The sequence below is a fragment of the Homo sapiens genome, chromosome 2 (genome assembly GCF_000001405.40).
Source record: "Homo sapiens chromosome 2, GRCh38.p14 Primary Assembly".
Taxonomy (NCBI): Eukaryota; Metazoa; Chordata; class Mammalia; order Primates; family Hominidae; genus Homo; species Homo sapiens.
The window spans coordinates 7,082,164-7,103,555 of NC_000002.12; the positions used below are offsets into that span (position 1 = coordinate 7,082,164).

Here is a 21,392-nt window from a genome sequence, read left to right on the forward strand (position 1 = left end):
TAACTTGAACTTACATACCTTGGTATTAGGAATGTAAAATGACACAGCCTACTTGGAAAGTTGTTCCGTTTTCTCATAAAGTTACACATAAACCTATCTTAGGACCTAAGATTTTCACTCCTAGGTATTTACTCAAGATGCATACAAACATATTTTTACAAAAAGACTGAATAAGACTATTCATAATAATTTTATTCCCAACAGCCAAGAGCTGTCTCAGAGTTTTTTGACAATCCAAATATTTGTCAAAATGACAATGATTACAAAAATTCAATATAAAAATTGAAATATATTTTCCAAAAAAAGGATGAATCATTGCTATATACAACAAGATGGATAAATTTCAAAAGTATTTTTGTTTGTAAAAAGCTAGGCAATAGAGTGTATGTATTGCATGATTTCATTTAGATCGGGGTGTCCAGTCTTTTGGCTTCCTTGGGCCGGATTGGAAGAAGAATTGTCTTGGGCCACACATAAAATACTCTAACACTAACAATAGCTGATGAGCTAAAAAAATCATTTAAAAATCTCATCATGTTTTAAGAAAGTTTGTGAATTTGTGTTGGGCCACATTTAAAGCCATCCTGGGCCACATGAGGCCTACGGGCCACTGGTTGGACAAGCTTGATTCACATAAAGTTATAGAACAGATAAAATTAGTCTATGGTGATAGAAATGAGAACAGTTACTACTTAGTGTAATGGAGATTGATAGAATGAGGGCATGAGGGAATCTTGGCTTCAGACTTGTTTATGCTGTGGCTTTAAAGTGACAACTAAAAACTTAAATTTTATATGCCGAAATTATATTTTATTCACATATGTGTATTTATTTGAAGTGGATGAGATATTTAGTTATAGTCTTCAAAGATCTGTCAATCTTCTGAAATAAGGCTACTCTCAAATTTGTTGTGCAAATTGGTACAATAAATATCAAAGTGGCAAACTCTAGTTACAGACAGAATTGTGTCCACCCCTCCTGCCCAATTCATATGATGAAGTTGCATTTTTCAATGTGATTGTATTTGGAGATATTAACCTAAAGAGGTAAGTAAGGTGAAGTGAGGTCATAGGGTGGGGTCCTAATCGGATAGGTCGATGTCTCTGAAAGAAGAGGAGGAGACACCAAGGAGGTGTCTCTCCATGCACATCCACAGAGTCATGGCCATAAGAGGACACAGTGAAAAGGTGCCTTACCAGATGTCCATGCTGTTGGCACCCTGATCTTGGACTTTCAGCCGTCAGAACTGTGAGAAAATAAATTCATGCTGTTTAAGAAACCCAGTTTGCAGTATTTTGTTATGGTATCCTGAGCTGACTAATATAAATCTGCTGAGAGTTGTTAAGGAAGGTATGATGCTCTAGAATAGAGTTGGGCAGACTTTTTCTGTAAAGGGCTAGACAGTAAATATTTTAGGCTTTACAGACCATATAGTTTCTGTTGCAAATATGCAGCTCTTCTGTAGAGGGAAGAGTCATGGACAATATATAAACAAATAGGAGGGTCTGCGTTCCAATAAAACTTTATTCATAAAAGGTAGATGTCATTGTTCAAAGGGGACTATGAAAAAGAAAAAGTTGGTGCCTGCACCCATAGACATTCCCCACAACCCACTCTGACTCCACCGAGCACAGAGGACCAGCAGGTCCCTGGGAGTTGTGGGTCTCCTGGTCACCTAACTATTGGCTTGGGCAACACCTAAGGGAGTGGACAGTGCAACCCGCAAGGGCCTGCGCTGGGGCTAAGGAAATGTGGGTGCAGTGCCAGTGATTAGAGGGGCCTCCTCCAAGGCTTGTGAATGAACTTGGTAAGGGGAGTTCATCTCTCACCACCTCCTCCATTTCCCGCTCCTCAGAGCACTGCTGTGAAAGCACTGAAATACAAAACAGGTGCTAAGAGCCTAGTGCCATCTAGTGTGTCGCAGCCTGAATTACACCACGAAACAAAAATAAATTCCTCCAGCACGCATTGCTGGTGAAAACCAATGCAGGAAACTAGCCTCAACTAAGGAACCCATACAGAGCCTTGGTCCTCTGAAAGCACCCAGAAATGAAACCAAGTGACTATACGTAATATACAGCACTGTCTATAAAAACAACACACCCTTCCAAATGACAGCAACTTCAAAAGGATAAAGAAACACCAGCCCTCTCAGTTGAGGAGGAACCAGTGCAGGAACCCTTGCAATTCAGTAAGTCAGAGTGTCTCCTTACTTCCAAAGGATCGAACTAGCTCCCCAGCAATGGATCCTAACCAGACTTAGATGTCCAAAATGACAGACATAGAATTTAGAATCTGGATGACAAGGAAGCTCAATGAGATTCAAGAGAAAGTTAAAACCAATCCAAGGACCCCAGTAAAGTAATCCAAGAGTTGAAAGATGACATAGCCATTTTAAGAAAGAACCAAGCTGAACTTCTGGAATTGAAAAAATCACTACAGAAATTTCAAAATAAAATTGGAAGTCTTAACAACATAATAGAGCAAACTGAAGAAAGAATTTCAGAGCTCAAAGTCCAGTCTTTCAAGTCAACCCAGACAAAAATAAAAAAAAAATTAAAAAAAATAAACAGAACTTCTGAGAAATATGGGATTATTTAAAGAGACCAAACCTATGACTCACTGGCATTTCTGAGAGAGAAGAAAAGATAGTAAGCAACTTGAAAAACATATTTGAGGCTATAGGCCATGAAAAATTCCCCAGTCTTGGTGGAGAGATCAACATGCAAACTCAAGAAATGCAGAGAACCCCTGCAAGATACAAGACAACCATCCCTAAGACACACAGTTATCAGACTTTCCAAGGTCAATGCCAATAATGGTATTTCCTAGTTTCTCTTCTAGCATTTTTATAATTTTAGGTCTTCTATTTAAATACTTATTTAATCTTGAGTTGACTTTTGTATATGGTGAAAGATAGGGATCCAGTTTCAATCTTCTGCAATAACTACTAGCCAGTTATCCTAACACCATTTACTGAATTGGAAGTCTTTTCCCCATTGCTTGTTATTGTCGACTTTGTCGAAGATCAAGTGGTTGCAGGTATGCAGCTTTATTTCTAGGTTCTCTATCCTGTTTTGTTGGTCTATGTGTCTGTTTGTTTTTCCTTTTTTTTTTTTTTTAACCAGCATCATACTCTTTTGGTTACCATAGCCTTGTAGTATAGTCTTAAGTCAGGTAGTGAGGTGCCTCTGGCTTTTCTCTTTTTGCTTAGGATTGTTTTGGCAACTTGGGCTTTTTTGTTGTTGTTGCATAGGAATTTTAGGATAGTTTTTTTCTAATTCTATGAAAAATGACATTGGTAATTTGGTAACATTGAATCTGTAACTTGCTTTGGGCAGTATGGCCATATTAATATTAATTCTTCATATCCATTAACATGAAATATTTTTCCATTTATTTGTGTCATCTCTGATTTCTTTTAGCAGTGTATTTTAATTCTCATTGTAGCTACCTTTCTGATTTCTTTCAGCAGTGTATTTTAATTCTCATTACAGCTATCTTGATTAGCTGTATTCCTAGGTGTTTCATTCTTGGCTATTCTTTGGCTATTGTAAATGGGGTTGCATTCTTGATTTGGCTCTTAGCTCGGATATTATTAGTGTATAGAAATATTATTAATTTTTCTGCATTGATTTTGTATCCTGAAAATTTACTGAAGTGTTTTATCAGTTTTAGGAGCCTTTTGCCAGAGCCTGTGGGGTTTTCTAGGTATAGAACCATCATTTGTGAAGAATGATAATTTTGCCTCCTCTCTTCCTATTTGGATGCCTTTTATTCCTTCCTCTTGCCTGATTGTTCTGGCTAGGACATCCAGTACTAGTTGAATAGGAATGGTGAGAGTGGGAATCCTAGTCTTGTTCCAGTTCTCCAGGGGAATGCTTCCAGCTTTTGCTAATTCAGTAGAAGTTGCCTGTGGGTTTGTCATATATGGCTCTTATTATTTTAAGGTATGTTCCCTCAATGTCTAATTTTTTGACAGTTTTTTTTTATTATGAAAGGATGTTGAATTTTATTGAAAGCCTTTTCTACCTCTCTTAAGATTATGATTTTTTAAAAAAATTCTGTTTATGTGTTGAATCATATTTATTGATTTGCATATGTTGAACCAATCTTGAATCCCAGTAATGAAGCCTACTTCATTGTTATGAATTAACTTTTAGATGTGCTGCTAGCTTCAGATTGCTAGTATTTTGTTGAGGATTTTTGTGTCTATATTCATCAGGGATATTGGCCTGAAGATTTTTTTTTTGTTATTGTTGTATCTCTGCTAGGTTTTTGTGTCAGAATGATACTGGCTTTGTAGAATAAGTTAAGGAGAAGTCCCTTCTCCTCAGTGTTTTTGGAATAATTTCAGTAGAATTGGTACTAACTTTTCTTTGTATATCTGTTAAAATTTGGCTGTGAATGCTTGTAGTCCTGGGCTTTCTTTTAGTTGGTAGCCTTTTTATTACTAATTCAATTTTGAAACCTGTTATTGGTATCAGGATTTCAGTTTCTTCCTGGTTCAATCCTAGTAAGCTGTGTGTTTCCAGGAATTTATCCATTTCTTCTAGTTTTTCTAGTTTGTGTGCATAGAAGTGTTCATAAAAGTCTCTGAAGGTTTTTTGTATTTCTGTGGGGTTGGTTCTAATGTCACTTTTGTAATTTCTGATTGCATTTATTTTGATTTTATCAATTTTTTCTTTGTTAATCTAGCTAGTGGTCTGTTACTCTTGTTTATTCATTCAAAAAACAAACTTTGGTTTCATGGATCTTTTGTGTTAATGTTTGCATCTCAATTTATTTCAGATTAGCTCTGATTTCGGTTATTTATTTTTTGCTGCTAGACTTGGGGTTGGTTTGCTCTTGTTTTTATATTTCCTCTAGGTGTAATGTTAGGTTGTTAGAGATCTTTCTAACTTTTAGATATAGGCATTTTTTTAGATATAGGCATTTAGTGCAATAAACTTTCCTCTTGACACTGCTTTATCTATTTCCCAAAGAATCTGATATGTTGTGTCTTTGTTTTCATTAGTTTCAAATAATTTTTTGTTTCGGTCTTAATTTTATTCTTTATCCAAAAGCCATTCTAGAGTAGGTTGTGTAACTTCCATGTAATTGTTTGGCTTTGAGAGATCACCTTTGTATTGATTTCTATTTATCTTGTACTATGGTCTGTCTGAGAGTGTGGTTGGTATGATATTAATTTTTCTGAATTTGTCATGACTTGCTTTATGGCTCCATATGTGGTTAATCTTAAAGTATATGCCATGTGCAGATGAGAAGAATGCATATTCTATTATACTTTGGTGGAGCATTCTCTAGATGTCTACTAGGTCTGATTGGTCAAATGTTGAGTTTAAGATGAGAACGTCTTTGCTAGATTTCTGCCTCAATGAACTGTCTAACACCATCGGTGGGGTGTTAAAGTTTCCCACTACTATTATGTGGTTATCTAAATCTCTTTATAGATTTCTAATACTTCGTTTTATGAATCTGGGTGCTCCAATGTTTGGTGTGCATATATTTAGGATAGGTAGGTCTTCATGTTGAATTGAACAACATTATATAATGTCCTTCTTTGCCCTATTTGATCAGTGTTGGTTTAAAAATCTGTTTTGTCTGATATGAGAAGAGCACCCCCGATCATTGTTTTGCATTTGCCTGATAGATATTTCTCCATCCCTTTAATTTGAGCCTATGGGTGTTGTTACTCATGTAATGGGTCTCTTGAAGACAGTAGACAATTGAGTCTTGCTTCTTGGTTCAACTTGCCACTCTGTGCCTTTTAAGTGGGATGTTTAGCCCATTTATTTACATTCAAGGTCAATATTGATAAGTGAGGAATTGATCTTGTAATTGTGTTGTTAGCTGGTTGTTGTGTACAATTAGTTGTATAGTTGCTTTATAGTGTCAATAGGATATGTACTTAAGTGTGTTTTTGTGGTGGCAGGTATCATTCTTTCATTTCCATGTTTAGAACTACTTTTAGGACCTCTTGTAAGGCAGGTTTAGTGGTAATGAATTCCCTTAGTATTTGCTTGTTTGAAAATTATTTTATTTTCACTTTTCTTATAAAACTTAGTTTTGCAAGATATGAAATTCTCGGTTGAAATTTATTTTCTTTAAAGATGCTAAAAATTGGCCCCCAGTCTCTTCTGGTTTGCAAGGTTTCTGCCAAAAGTTCTGCTGTTAACCTGATAAGGTTCCCTTTGTAAGTGACCTGCCCCTTCCCTTTAGCTGCCTTTAAGATGTTTTTCTTTTGATTTGATCCTAGGTAATCTAATGACTATGTGTCTTTCAGATAGTCATCTTATATAGTATCTTACAGGGATTCTCCGAATAGGCCACACATGTTTCTTGGAAGGAGGACAGAGCCTAGCAAGGATGCTACGGGCTCCCAAGGAGAGCCTGTAACAGAGAAGGAAGCAGTGAGTACCACGGCTGGAGGTTTGGGTGGGTTACACTGAAAGGAGGTAGGAACTAAGCCTAGGAAGCGTGGATACGATTCAGGCGTGTGGCATTTGAAGAGGACAAGCCAGTTAGAAAGATATTAGCAGACTTAGAAGTTTAAAAATATTCATGAACACTTCAAGTTGGTTAGTTTGACTGAAGCCTAATGCACTTTTTAGAGGAACGAGGGGCAGTGTGATGGAGGAAGGAGCTGGAGGATGACCGCCTTGGTCCTAGCATGGGGCAGTGTGGCCTTTTCCTGGGAACCAACTGTCTTAAACTGAGTTCCGGGGGCAGCAGTATCTGATGATGGGATACTAGGCATTCTGCAGAGATTGCCCTTGGCTTCCACCAGATAAAATGAGACGGGGACATAGGAGAAAACTTATGGTCAGATATATTTGGAAAATGATGGGTTAATGAAGTTATGCGTTTTTCTTTCTGTGTGATTCATCAGACCCTCTCATGGATCAATTGGCTTTGGAATATCCTTTGCAGGCAGAACATGTGGCACTTCCCACTGGCACAGACTTGGAAATTGCTTGTTTTACCGGGATCTGGTATACGTAGGTGCCCCATTTTAAAGTTTGGGGTAAAAAGCTGCCCAAGTAATGTTTCAAAGTATTAACCTTCTATTGATGTAGATTAGCATTAGTTTTTAATCGGGCACACCCAGGGTTCTTGCCCTCAAGATAGGCTCAGAAATATCCAAACGCCCAGTTCTACTTGCTCCTGTCTTTTTCCTGTAGCCGAAACCCCGAGGCGCCCTCTCCAGGGATGAAATTGACAGCAGGAGGAACAGAGTCGGGGAGCATCCAGCTCAAGCCTCTGCTCCCCACAGCGGCTCCCGCTGGAGCCGAGGTGCCGGTCAGAGCTGCCCATCTGCGGCCCTCCTTGCTTTCCTGCTATGGAGGAACAGAGGCAGGAGGTGAGGGCCTCTGGCAGGGCCAGGGATTGCTGGCACGCACCCTCCAGAGAGCTGTGGCAGGAGCCGCGTTACGAGCTGCCTCCTTGGAGAAACAGCCTCACATCTGTGAGAAGGGCCTGCGGTGGAGCCCATACTCAGGTGGAAGGAACCGGGAGGTTTCTGGCCAGTTGCTTCTGTTTTTAGATTGTGGTAGTGAGGTGTGTGCATGTGTGTGTGCGCGCGTGTGTGCATGTGTGCATGTGTGTGTGTGCGCGCGGTGTTAGCCCAGTTGCAGGCGCTTTTCACTATGAACATAAAGGTAGAAAAAGAGATCAGTGTGCACACGAAATCTTTGTAAAGATGATATTCAGTATATTTAGCTACCACTAGGAAGTGCAATGGGTTAAAGTTAACCGGATCGCTGACTTCTGACAGCTGAGTGTGCGCTGGCTGCATTGGAGCCCTCCGCTCTCTGACAGGGGCCGTCGCTGGCCTGTGCCCCGTGCCGGCAACCCAGGCACACCTGTGCCCCTGCAGGGAGCCCCGCCCCCAGCTGTCTCTGGCTCCTGGAGTCCGAGCCCTGCCGCCCTCTACCCAGGATTTCTAGTTGCTCGTGGGCCCTCCGGGCGTGGAGGAGGACCTGGTGTCTCTCCTTTGGGCTCAGCAACCTCCTGACGTGGGGCTGGCTCCTGCCCCCTGCAGCCCCAGGATGCAGAGGGGCCGCTGGGCTGCTGTCTTGATGAGGGCCCCGCAGTCCCCGCAGTCCCCGCAGGCTGGGCGGCTTCTGAGGAAAGGCCTGGGGCAGGGCTCCGGAGCAGGGCAGGGCTCACGGCCCCTGGACTTTGGAGGCTGGATCCTGGGCCAGAGGCGAAGGCCCCTGGAACCAGGCTGCGTCGCCCACAGTTCTGCCTGGAAGGTGGAGGATCAATGTTGTCTCCTGCCCCCCAGGGGGTCAATGGGATCCTTTGAGCCAGGACGTTTTTCCAGTTTCTGAATCCAATTGTAAATCCCTCATTTTTTTAAAAACCTCTACCAGACTTTTAAAAAGTTGTCCTCAAAAAACTTTCTAATCTAGAGAGAGAAAGAGCACGGCAACTTCTAAGTGATGCTGGCGAGAAAGTCAGGAGACTTGGCACTTACAACTTTCTAAAGATCTGAATGCAAATGTCACCTGGAGCATTGGAGTATGCCGAGGCCCCTGGGTGATGAAAGTGAGGGAGAAATGAGAGGGCAGGGGTGCGCCAAATAAGGGGGGATTTCACTCCTGTCCATCCCTGGGCTTGTGTAACTCAAGGTATTGGAGAGTCAAAGTGTGCTCTTGGTTTTACTGCTACCATGAAGAGACGAAAAGCGAGCCCGCAGACTTGTGGCCCTTTCCCTGACCTGGTAAGAGAAATATTGCAGGGTGTTTTAGGATGATGCTGGAAAGAGGCAGGAGCCCTCTCTGTCTCTGAGGGTCTGCAGGGCACTTCCCCAAGGGCAGGTGGGGCGGACACAAAGGAGCTTGGGGCGGACACAAAGGAGCTTGGGGCTTCCTTCCTCTTGGCCTCCCTCTGGGCTGGACCCTGAGCTCTGCCTGGGGATGATGCAGGGAAGACCCCCATTCCCTTGGACCAGGCATCTGCTCCTCTGGGCTGGTCTCTTGGGGGCCGAGGGTGAAAGAGGAAGGAGGGAAGTGCATACCTGGGTCAGAGGCCAGGCTGGGTGTCGGGAGCCTGTATTTTATTTAGTGCTCCCAACTGCTCTGTCATGTAGCAATGGCCACTATTCTCATTTTATAAATGAGAAGATGCAGGCTCAGAAGGGTTAAATAGCCTGTGGTCCTACCATAAATGAGGCCCCAGTCCTCTGAGTCCCACACAGGAGTCTGCTGACTTTGCTCCAGGCAAGGTGCGGTGCAGGCTTCACAAGGACAGACTCCATGTCAGCCTGGCCTGGCCCAGTCTGCGAGGCAGGCAGGGTCAAAGGCCCTGGAGGAGGAGGAAGGTGGACCTTCCGTGAGCAGGGCTGGAAGATGCTTCCAGGCCCGACTCTATGGCTTTTTGAGGCTGGAAACTTCCGAGGAGAGAGTAGGAGCATTCAGGACAGTCCTTAACAAAGAGGGGGGAGTTTTTGCAGATGCCACCCAAGAGAAAAGACAGCATTACTTCACACTGCTGGCCGATGTACTGCGGGGACAAATGCTGGGGTTTTACTCAGGGCTGACCTGCTTCGGAGGGTCCCCACCTGCCTGGAGCTGGCCACAGGTCACCTCCAGCCTGGGCTCCCCGAGAACCTTCACCAGCCCTTCCCAGTTACTTTTGTCCTTTCTGGTTCTGTGATAACACAAAATAATGATGACAATGATGTGTGTTTATCAAATGCTTATTTGCCAGGTCCATGCTCAGGGCAGTCTCAGGCCATAGGTGCTATCCTCGTCCCCACCCTACCCATGTGGATACCCTGGAGGAGGATGCAGGAGGCTTCCCCACCATCTTCCCACTCTACTGCCCTCTTCCTGTCCTTACCCCTGAGTTCTGTCCACAGGGATGGTGGCCAGTCCAGTGAGAAAGATGATCCTCTTCTGGGATCTTTCTTCCAAATAGAAAGACTCTTCCCTTATAATTAATACTCAGCTTAGAGATGCTTACTTTCAAAGGAAGCAGCAGGTATATTAATAAATATTGTAAATCTTTTTGTCCTGACAACCTACTGATGCTACACTCACAGCTTTTAGATTTTAAAAAGCTGTGGGTAGAGATTTTTCAAGGCAAAATTTTGTGTCTGTGGTTTGCAAAGCTACTCTCAAAGCATAGTTTCAGCCCCAAGAATAGGCATGCCATTTACTTATGATGTTCATGCCTAACATTGATTTTTTTATCCTGACTTGCATATTTTTGAAATATAGTATGTAGTTTTATTTTCAACCAAACTATATTAAGAATGAAATATATTGGCTGGGCATGGTGGCTCATGCCTGTTATCACTTTGGGAGGCTGAGGCAGGAGTATCGCTTGAGCCCAGGAGTTTGAGACCAGCCTGGGCAACATGGTAAAACTCAGTATCTACAAAAGAGTACAAAAATTATCCAGGTGTGGTGGCACACACCTGTGGTCCCAGCTACTTGGGAGGCTGAGGTGGGAGGATTGCTTGAGCCCAGGAGGTTGAGGCTGCAGTGAGCCAAGATTGTGCCACTGCACTCCAACATGGGCAACAGGGTGAGACCCTGTCTCAAAAAGGAAAAAGAATAAAATATACTGAAGTATTAAAAGTTACATTGTCTAGATGGTGAAAACATGGGCAGTTTTAATTTTATTTATTTTAAAATTATTCATAAGTAAAATGGACAACTGTAATGATATGGGGAAACATTTAAAGAAAATATGTCCTTTATTTTTTATTTTGTAATAAATATGTGATATTCATCATATAAAAATATTGGATATCTATGTAATAAAATGGGAACAGTATTTGCCTGATAGCATTGATGATAAGAAGTATTTTCTCTCATACTGTCTATAAATTTCAAATTTGCAACAATTAAATATGAATTCATTTTATTTTTTCAGCTTCATTGAAGTATAATTGACCAATAACATTTGCATGTATTAAAAGTGTACAACTTGATATTTGTATATATTGTGAAATGACCACCAAAAGCTAATTTACATATCCATAGCCTCACAGGTACCCCTTCCTTCCTTCCTTCCTTCCCCTCCCTCATTCTCTCTTTCTCTCTCTTCCTTTTCTTTTCTTTCTTTTTTGCGTGGTGTGAATACTTTGGATCTACCCCATTAGCAAACATTTTTAAAGAGAGAGTAGAGCTAATTGAGCTGAAAGGAGTATTTCATGTATATCTCAGGTTCTGCACTTCTGAAATGGATTCCAAATAGTGTGTGGATCCTGGAAGTCCTTATAACCTTCTCTGTATTTATCCTTCTGTTCTCTGTCTCACGTCAGGTCAGGAATGGACAGGAGTGAGCAGGACGGAGTGCAGGCATCCTTCTTGGACTGGGAGGACAGCCTTGGGAGGACAGTGTCATGGGCTCTGGGAGCATCACCCAAGGCTAATGGGCTCCTGCAGATGCTCCTTGCAGCAGCAGAGTGAGGCCAGTATCTTGTAAAATGTTCCACAAACTTCTATGCACCTGCAGGCATGTGGACAATGGATAGGAACCCACGGTGGGCAATTCAGAGTGTCTGTTCAAGGAAATTGTATTTTATGTTAATGCTCATTGTTTTCTTGGAACTGGATAAAACCTGGCAGGCTCCTCTGTGGAGCATTATTAGATTTTCGGAATAATTTTTCTTTGTTGAGCGCACTTAAACTGGGTACTGAGACTGGTTCCTTCACCCCCACCCCAGGAGGCCTAGAGAGGAATCACTGGCCTGAGCCAGAAACAGGAAAGCAGGGGAGAGAGGAGGCGACGGTGGGGACGTGTTCCTCGATGTGCCCATTTCCTAGTTGTTACGTGTATGTGTGCATGTGTGTGCCTGCGTGTGTGTCCGTGTATGTGTGTGCGTGTGTGTGTGTGTGTGCATACATGCTCAGCAGCACAGCCTGGTGAAGGGCCTGGAGTGGCATGGAGGGAAACGCAAGGTGAATCTGAAAAAGAAGGACCACCACAGCTGAGAGAAATTTGCAGGAGGGAAATGTGGGGGAGAGCTTGGAACTCTCACTGTCTCTGGAACGGGGGTCCAACAAGCTCACCTCAGCGGCTTGAGGGTTCTGATCACTGCATCTGCCGTGTCCTAATGTTACAGTAGGTAGCTAGTCAGGCATGAGCAGGGCAGGGGAGGGCTCCCCACCCACACACCAGGAGTGTCTGGTGACGGTCAGGTGACGGTCAGGCGGTTGTAAAGTGTCTCGCTAAAGTAATAATTGGTCACAGCTGGCACCAGGGAAAGGCCGTCTCCAAATAAAAAGAAAACACCTAAAACTGGTGATCAGCAGCTTCCCAATAAGATCTCAGGAAGTGGGCGAGTGAGCTCAAGCATGTGCATTAAGAGGCAAAGTGATGGAGTTTAACTGTTGTATGACCTTCCTGTAGGAATGCTAGTCTGGTAAGGAAAGAATGCCTCAAATAAGCATGCATACAGCTCCAGGAAACACATAGCACACGCTCCACTCCCAACTGCTGGCAGGCCACTGTGCGTGCAGACAGCCCGCCCCAAGGGATGAATCGGGAGAAGGGACACAAGACCCCGGAAGCATGCCAACATATACAAGCCCAAGTCAAAAGGTCAAACCCTGCACTTGTCCTTCAAGTTACCTGCTTGGGCCTCTTCCAAGTGTACTTTCCTTCCTTGTGTTCCTGCTCTAAAGCTTTTTAATCAACTTTCACTCCTGCTCTAAAACTTGCCTTGTTCTCTCCTTCTGCCTTATGCCCCTCAGTTGAATTCTTTCTTCTGAGGAGGCAAGAATTGAGGTTGCTGCAGACCCGTAAGATACGGATTCGCTGCCGGTGACACTAACATAGATGCTGAGCAATAATCCAGAGCAGATACCAGTGGCCTGAGTAGGGGGTTGTGTGACGGAAGGAAGTGTGTTCTTTCAGGATACACTTAGAAGGCAGAATCAGTGGGACATAGTGACTAACTGATGATGAATCCCACATTTCTGTCCTGGGCACCTGGACGATGGTGGGGCCTCCACTTGGTGTGCAGGACTCAGAAGATGGAGCGTATTTTAAGGGAGCAGGAAACTGGCAAGTGTAGGTTTGCCCCAGGGAGTTCAAGGTGCTGCAGAATATCCAAGTGGAAAAGTGACCAGTTGACTCAGATTCTAGGCTTCAGGGGAGACACCTGGGTTGGCAACATAGCTCTGGGAAGATTAGTTTATACTTTGAGACCTATCTGAATTTTTCCATGTGAAAGCATTTAGTTTCATGGATGGAGATGAGTGCATTTGGGTGGGGCAAAGAGGAGACAAGCTCAATGAGCAAAGAAACCCTGTGAGGAGGGAGGGCAGGGCCCTGCTGCAGGGAGAGGAGGCTGGGGGGGAAACATTGCTCAGGGACACACACTATTAAGGCTGTCCTGGGGGTGGCAGGGCCTGTCAAATAGAACTTCGCTTCATGCTGCCTTATCCTTCCCGGGTATGAGCAGGTGTTTGGTGCCTCTTCTGTGCCGGTCAGTAGATTCCCCAGACGGGGCAGTAGAATATCTGGGGGCAGCTGGTCACCTCATACACAGGGCTCAGGAGGAAGCGTCTCCTAAGTCCAAGTGGTAATTTTTTTTTTTTTGAGACAAAGTGTTGCTCTGTCACCCAGGCTGGAGTGCAGTGGCACGATCTTGTCTCACTGCAACCTCCGCCTCCTGAGTCCAAGTGATTCTCCCGCCTCAGCCACCTGAGTAGCTGGGATCACAGGCATGTGCCACCATGCCCAGCTAATTTTTGTATTTTTAGTAGAGACAGGGTTTCACCATGTTTGCCAGGCATGTCTTGACCGCCTGACCTCAAGTGATCCACCCATCTCAGCCTCCCAAAGTGCCGGGATTACAGGCGTGAGCCACCGTGCCCGGCCCACGTGGTGAATTTTAAGTGAGCGGCAGATCCTGGCTCTTCACCATCACTTTTTCCCGTGAAAGACATCCAACGATTGAAAACCTTTGAATTTTTAGCTGGTAAAAGCCTCAGCATTTACTTAGCAAATATTGAGACATTGGATGGGAAGCTTCTGATGTTTCAGGCACTGTGTTCCCTGTTCTGAGGAATAAATAAGATACTTCCCTGTAGGATCTCAGAGATTAGCAGGATGATGAGGCAGGAAAGGGGCCAGGTACTAGGCATGGAGTCCCCAGAATGGGGCACAGGGCTGGAAAAGGCCGGGGAGGACAAGCTTTCCTCCAAGGAGAAGGAGGGAGGTGGCTTTGAACCGACCCTAGAGAGAGGCATGGTGGTTTAGCAAAAGGACCCTGGGGTAAGCCATTTAGGAGGCACAGACTGGGGCCAGGTTTTGTTAGCAGCGGAAGGTCTCTGAGTCACAGGGCACCAAAGTATGTTAGCAGCAGCAACTCCGGACCAGTCTGCAGCAACCTCATTCCTTGCCTCCTCGGAAGAAAGAACTCATCTGAGGAGCATTAGGCAAGGGAGAGACTGAGGCAAGTTTCTGAGCAGGAGTGGAGGTTTCTTAAAAAGCTTTAGAGCAGGAATGAAAAGAAGGAAAGTACACTTGGAAGAGGGCCAAGCAGGAGACTTGAAGGACTAGTGCAGGGTTTGACCCTTTGACTTGGGGTTTTATATGTTGGCATGCCTCCGGGGTCTTGCGTCCCTTCTCCCCTGATTCTCCCCTTGGGGTGGACTGCACGCATGCATGGTGGGCTGCTGGCGCTTGGGAGGGGCGCATGCGCAGTGTGTTTACTGGAGTCGTACCCATGCTCCCTTGAGGCGTTCTTCCCTTACCAGCCGAATGTCCCTAGGAGGTCATATGCCACTCACACTCTGCCATTTTGCCTCTTAGTGCGCATGTGTTGAGCCCACTCACCTCACGCCGGAGGAGATCTATCTGAAAGCTGCGGGCTTCAGGTGTTTCTATCTATTGGGAGATGCCGTTCCCTGGCGCCGGCTGCAAACAATTATTATTTTAGAGAGACAGCTAACCAACCGCCTGACCACCACCTGATGGTCGCCCGCCCCTCATGGTGGGGTGGGGGCCCTCTCTGTCCTGCTCTGCCTGACCAGCTACTGACCTAACAGTTTGATGTCCTTGTGAGCCATGCTTAAGGAATTTGAACTGGCCCCTATATGAAATGGAGACCACTGGCAGATTTAAAATTGGGAGTGAAATTTAAATTTCTATGATTTAGAAAGACTTTCTGGCAACTGGATTGGACTTGGAGGATCCTGAGTGCCGCCAGATTGGTTGGGGATGCTGAAGTGCGCAGGACGCCGAGGCTAAGGGGCAGGAAGGGACGGCCAGCATGCAGCGCCACGATTCGGTCAGCAGGTGGCGCGCGAGCACCGCGTTTAACCAGTTTCTAGGTGCGCGTGCTTTGCTGTCTTTTGTTACCATTTTGTTTGTTGTTTGTTTTGGTTTGGGTCTTTTTGTTTTGCGTGTGAGTGATGGATTTTTGTGTCTGCCTTGAGCTCTTCCACCCTATGCCTACTCAGCCTTCTTCAACTTGTGATTTTCTCCCTCCCTCTCTCCACCGTGAGATTAACCAGAATTAGACAGGGCAGCTTAGACAGAGAAAGCAGGTGTGCAGTTTCAGAAAGACCACGTGGCTACAGCCAGCCCAGCTGGCCTTATGTGCCCCACCGTCCTCCACCAGAGCTCTGGAGCCACTTGTCCTGCCCTGGGCCCAGCAGGCATCACAGCCAGTGGGAGGGGCCACAGGCTGCCCTGGGGTGTGGAGAAGCACCCCCTAGCTCCCCATCCCATGCACTCTGGTCTATTTCTTCCTACATCCCAGATGGACTCACCCGATTCAAGAGGCCCCCATCACATCAGCTTCAGCCTTCATCTTGGGAGTCCTTAAATGCAGGACTCAAGAGTCTGCATTTGTTCTTAAGGACAGGAGATTTGCTTTAACTCAGACAATTTCTCCTTATAGACTCCTTTCTTCATAGTAGAAAGAGAAGGAGCCCCCAAAGGCACATCCTCCTAGCAGGTGGTTCTGGCCCCTGTTCTGCCAGTCATCTGCATGCAGCCCAGGCGTGCCACTCAGCCACACTGATTCTCAAGGGCCTCACCAGGAACGTTTTTATCTTTGCCCTATCCTCCAGGATGATGAGAATAAGAGAAAAATAAAGCAAGTATCGAAATTTCTCCTAGAAAAGTGTTTTTAGTAATTTATACCATTTAATCCTTGGATGGGCTATTTGAGCTAGGATTTCTGTTCTCATTGCCTTTGACATTTAATGCCTATGAGACCTTGGGCAACTTCTACCTCGCTGACCTGTAGGTTCAGGTGGAGTTTCTTGCTCAAGTTATGTGCTCCACACCCATAAAATATGGATAATAACACAAATTCATTAAGGATGCCATTAATTGAAAAACAAAGTTGGGCTTAGTATTTCTTATGATTAGTATACTGTCTTAATATCTAACCTGATCGCCAATCCACACTTGGATAACAAGAAGACCTCTATTTTTTAGTCTTTGTTTTGTTTCTCTTTTTATTCTAATTTTATTTTTTAATGGATAAATAATTGTAAATATTCACAGGATACATAGTGATGTTTCAATACATATAATGTGTAGGGATCAGACAAGGTTAATTAGCTTATCCATCGTCTCCAACATTTATCATTTCTTTGTGTTGAGAGAACTCATTTTTTATTTTTTCCATTAATTTCTTAAAAATTTACATCTGTGGAGTACAGGTGCAATTTTGTTACATGTACAGGTCGCATACACTTCAGCAAAGACACTTAATCTGGCACTTATCAAATGCCAGATGCTATTCAGTAAAAGGTGTCAGAGATATTTGGTTATTTATCTTAAGGGTGAGACTTTTGCACTGCAAAGCAAAGTCTTATCACAAGTAAAAAATTTCTGGCCCAGCAACATGAGTGATTCCAGACCATTCTCACGCTGAGGGGCTTGGCCCAGCCACTAGGTTGGGATCAAGGGGCAGTGTGCAGTCTTGTAGTCAACTGGAAATTGGAAGGAAAAAGTGAGAAGACCTTAGGTTTTGCTTCTGGGTCTGTGCCATTAACCAGCCGGGTGGTCTTGGGTGATTCACTTCATGCCTTTGTCCACGTTTCTTATTATTAAAGCAGGACTGTCACCTTTCTATGCCCTCTCACAAGGCTCTCCTGTAGGCCAGATGGAGATAGCGATGGAAAAAGTATTCTGCAACCATAGAGAGCTCTGTAGATGCAGCTGTTAATAAGTGGGTGACTTAATTCTTCGGACGGTTCACAGAACTCTTCTGTAACCTGCTGCTATGTGAAGCACTGGGCAAGAAACAGGGTAAGAGAGTCAGAGCTGAACAAGACTTACTTTCTTCTCTAAAGTTGCTAATATAGAGCCCTGCGGTTTGATAAAATGTAAGCCCATTTATTTATTAAGTTTGTATTCCCTAGATATATTTCCACCAAATAGGAAGATGATTTCATTTTAAAGCTTTAAAAAGAATATACATAAAATATATGCCCTTGGGCTTTATTTTCCATATAGGACCATTTTACTTACCTTGAAAATCTATTTCCTCGATGAGCATTGCTGTGAGGTTTTTACTAGCTACCATATAGGTGATATGGTTAGGCTTTTTGTCCCCACCCAAATCTCCTCTTGAATTGTAATCCCCAGGTGCTGAGGGAGGAACCTGGTGGGAGGTGATTGGATCATGGGGGTGGTTTCCCCTATGCTGTTCTCATGATAGTGAGTGAGTTCTCAGGGGATCTGATTGTTTATAAGTGTTTGGCAAGTTCCTCCTTCACTCACTCTTCTCTCTCCTGCCACCATGTGAGAAACGTTCTTGCTTCCCCTTTGCCTTCCACCATGACTGTAAGTTTCCTGAGGCCTCCCCAGCCATGCAGAACTGTGAGTCAATTAAACCTCCTTTGTTTATAAATTACGCAGTTTGGGGTATTTCTTTATAGTAGCGTGAAATCGGACTAATACAGTAGGTGAATTCTTGCCCACTTTATACCTCAGTCATACTGAACTTAAAAGGGTACTAGGCCCATGAAATCATCTGTGGCCTTTGAATTCTGGAAACATTCCTAGCTTTCTTCTGAAATCACAGCAGGCTAGTACATTTAAAAATGGGACTACTAACTTTTCTTCATCTCTGCCTGATTATTATCCATTGCTTATGTATTTTTCACATATGGGTTATTCATTCTTTGTCCTCCAGAATCATGCCTGATGATTTTGAGAGATTTATCCTATCTGCATGCAAAATGTTGCCTATTTTCTCCCAATTTCATTTTAAGTTACCTCTTCTTTCATCTCCATAATAATTATAACCATTTTCCTATTAACAATTTCAAATCTTTCACCTGCTTATGCCTTATTAAACAAAAGGTTAATATATTTGTGAAAGCTGCAAATCTAAGCACCATGTCACATGTATACCTTGGATGAAGAGCAGCATGGTGGCTGACTGTCACTATTGCCTGCACTGCCCAGCAAGTAGGTGAGATTTTCCTCTGGGAGATCTTTTTTTCCAGTCTAAGAAAGGTCTAAAATTAAAAGTTTGTGAATAGAAAAAAAAATGTACACTCTTGTCCATCTCTATTGCAGTAAGAGTTTTAAATCAAGAATAGATCTGTGATTTTATCAAAGAGTTTTCCTGCTCTTACAGAAGGATTACACAGATTTACCTTTGTGTCCACTCAAATGGTAAATTGTATTGGTAGGTTTTCTAATATCAAATCACCTTGCATTTCTGGGAGGAACTCCACCTGCCTATGGTGGTTGTCTTTGGATGGGATTGGATTGTATTTGCTAATATATATCAAGAAATTTAATATAATTATTTAAAAGTGCAGGTGACCCACAGATTTCTTCTTCTTGCCTCTTCATTGGGTTTCAGTTTTATGTGTTGCTAGCTTTACAAAAGCATTTGGAACTTTTCCTCCCCTTCTCCCTTCTCCCTCTTCCTCCTGTCTCCTCCTCCTCCTCCTTTTATGTCTCCTGTTCACAGAAACATTTAATATTCAAGTAATCTGTTTCTCAAAGATTTGTTAGAAATCTGTTAAACATACAGGGCTTGGTGCTCTTTTGTCAGGAGGAATGTTAGTTCTCTGAGAGCTTCATCTGTTCCATATTAACTGGTCTATTTGGAATATTTTCTCTTTAATAGGGTCAGTTTGGGTAATGTACAGTTTTATCTTTTCCAGATCTTTAAATTCTGGAAAATTTATGATTTGATCTTTCTTTTCCTTTCCCCTTACTTCAGTGGTTACTTCTTTATTGTTAGATAATCTTAATAGTTCATCATTTTTGCTATTGCTGTTATATAATATTCTAAAAGCAACCCTTGGATTTATTTAGTCCTACAGTTTTTTGTTCCTTATCAATTAATTTCTGCCTTTATCTTTGTTAATTATTTTGTTCTGCTTTCCTTAATTTTATTTTTTTAGCTTTCTAATTTATTGAGTTGAATAAAAAAACCTATTGCCATTTATACTTGCTAATCACTTAATGTTTTGCATGTAAGTATTGAGACTTTGATTTACTCTTTGACCAAAGTGGTGTTAATGGAAGAGCCTTAAATTTCCTCATGAAAATCTTTTCAAATTAATTTTACTTGCTAATTTTGTTTTTGAAAATTTTTCAAAGTACTGTAGATAGCATTGCTACTCTTTGGTTATTTAGTGAGGTTTTTCTTATGGCCTAATAAAAGGTCAGTTTTTTAAATTGTGGCATGAACACCTGAATATGTACATTTTCTGTTTTCATGATGAAGAATTAGACATACGTTAATTATATTCACCCTAGTAATTATGTAACTTACGTCTTCTATATTGAGACATATTTTTTTGTCTATTTCTATTTTTTATGAAACCAGAGTGGTAAATTATTATTCCACCACTGGTGTTTTTCTATTTATCCGTATGCTATCTTTAATTTTTGTCTGTAAATGTTCATTCAAGGTATTTGGAGCGTAAAGCTTAGGTGTGGTCTGGCTTAATGGAAACCCTGGCTCTCCCACCTGTGAAGAGTTGGCTTCCAGGAGTTATTGCATTAGCTGAGCTTCCATGTACTTATCTGGAAAATGGGATAATGATCCTTTTTTTTTTTTTTTTTTTTTTTTAGAGTGAGTTTCACTCTTGTCATCCAGACTGGAGGGCAATGGTGCAATCTCAACTCCCTACAACCTCTGCCTCCCAGGTTCAAGGGAGTCTCCTCTCTCAGCCTCCTGAGTAGTTGGGATTACAGGTGCGCACCACCACGCCCTGCTAATTTTTATATTTTTAGTAGAGACAGGGTTTCATCATGTTGGCCAGGCTCGTCTCAAACTCCTGACCTCAAGTGACCTGCCTGCCTCGACCTTCCAAAGTGCTGGGATTACAGGCATGAGCCACCGCGCCCGGCTGGGATAATGATTCTTATGTTGTAGAATCAAGATGAAGTTTAAGAATAATGCTTGTAAAACACCAGGTCCATAGTAGATGCTAATAAAATGCACTGTTTTTAATTGTTGTCATTATTCTTACACTCATTCTCTGTTAGCCAACATAATGGCTATGTTCATGAAGGGGTAGTGTGAAGCACACTTTCCTAATGGTTTCTCTATCTCTTTGGGAGTTATGCATGTAAATACTTCTACCCACACTGCTCCGACTGTCGCTCACATTATTTTAATTGTTTCTGCCCCTCATGCTGCTGCTAGTTCTTACGCTATTTTTATTCCTATTTCTATTTCTGCTTCTGTTATTGTTCTGCAGTAATTCTACTTTTGCTCTTTTGCTTCTATTTCTATTGTTGACATGCCTTCTAAGAAGGCTTCTCCTGCTGTTGTTTCTATATTTACATTACCACTGCAAACACTGTTAGTGTCTTACTTTGATCTATGAGTACTTGAGTAGACAAGATCATGGGGCTGGAAGGTTAGGCTGTCATCCTAGTTTTGCTAGAGGGAGCCACTCTGGCACCCTCTCTGCGCATGCTTCCTCGTCTGACAGATGAGAGCCTCACTGCTCTAGGAGTTCCCTCGCAGAATTGCCATAAGATTCAAATGATGTTATGTTTGCAGATGCTCTGCAGAGATGCCGAGGGCCCTGGAAGCTGCTTTTATTTTTTTTCAAGTTCAGTAGATCATTTGGGTCCCAGAGAGGGCTTCAAGGATTATAAAGTCTTGGTTTCTTCTCTCTTTATTTCATAATGGGCCTGGCCTTGTGAATGTGTGTGTGTGAGTGTGTATGCATGAGTGAGTGTGTGTGTGTGTGTGTGTGTCAGAGAGAGACAAAGGGATGAAAAGAGAGAGAATTTAGTGCCTCAATTTCTGCCTCTAGTCTAAGATCAGATGCCATTTCTGCAGAGAGACAACTATGCGGGGCTGGAAGTTTTGGAGCTGAATTGGTTCCTGGATGCTGTTCCTGGAGGGGAAAGTAGGTACGGAGAGGCCAAAATGTTAGCGCCACTCCTTTATAGAATATTGCATTTCAAAT

General features: G+C 43.0%; 1 annotated feature.

The window, feature by feature from the left end:
• Positions 15,343 to 15,472: an enhancer, noted in NCBI's record as "active region_15248". NCBI's record gives its function as "activates an Ori minimal core promoter by ATAC-STARR-seq in GM12878 lymphoblastoid cells {active_cell/tissue: GM12878}" and the evidence as "EXISTENCE:reporter gene assay evidence [ECO:0000049][PMID:35858748]".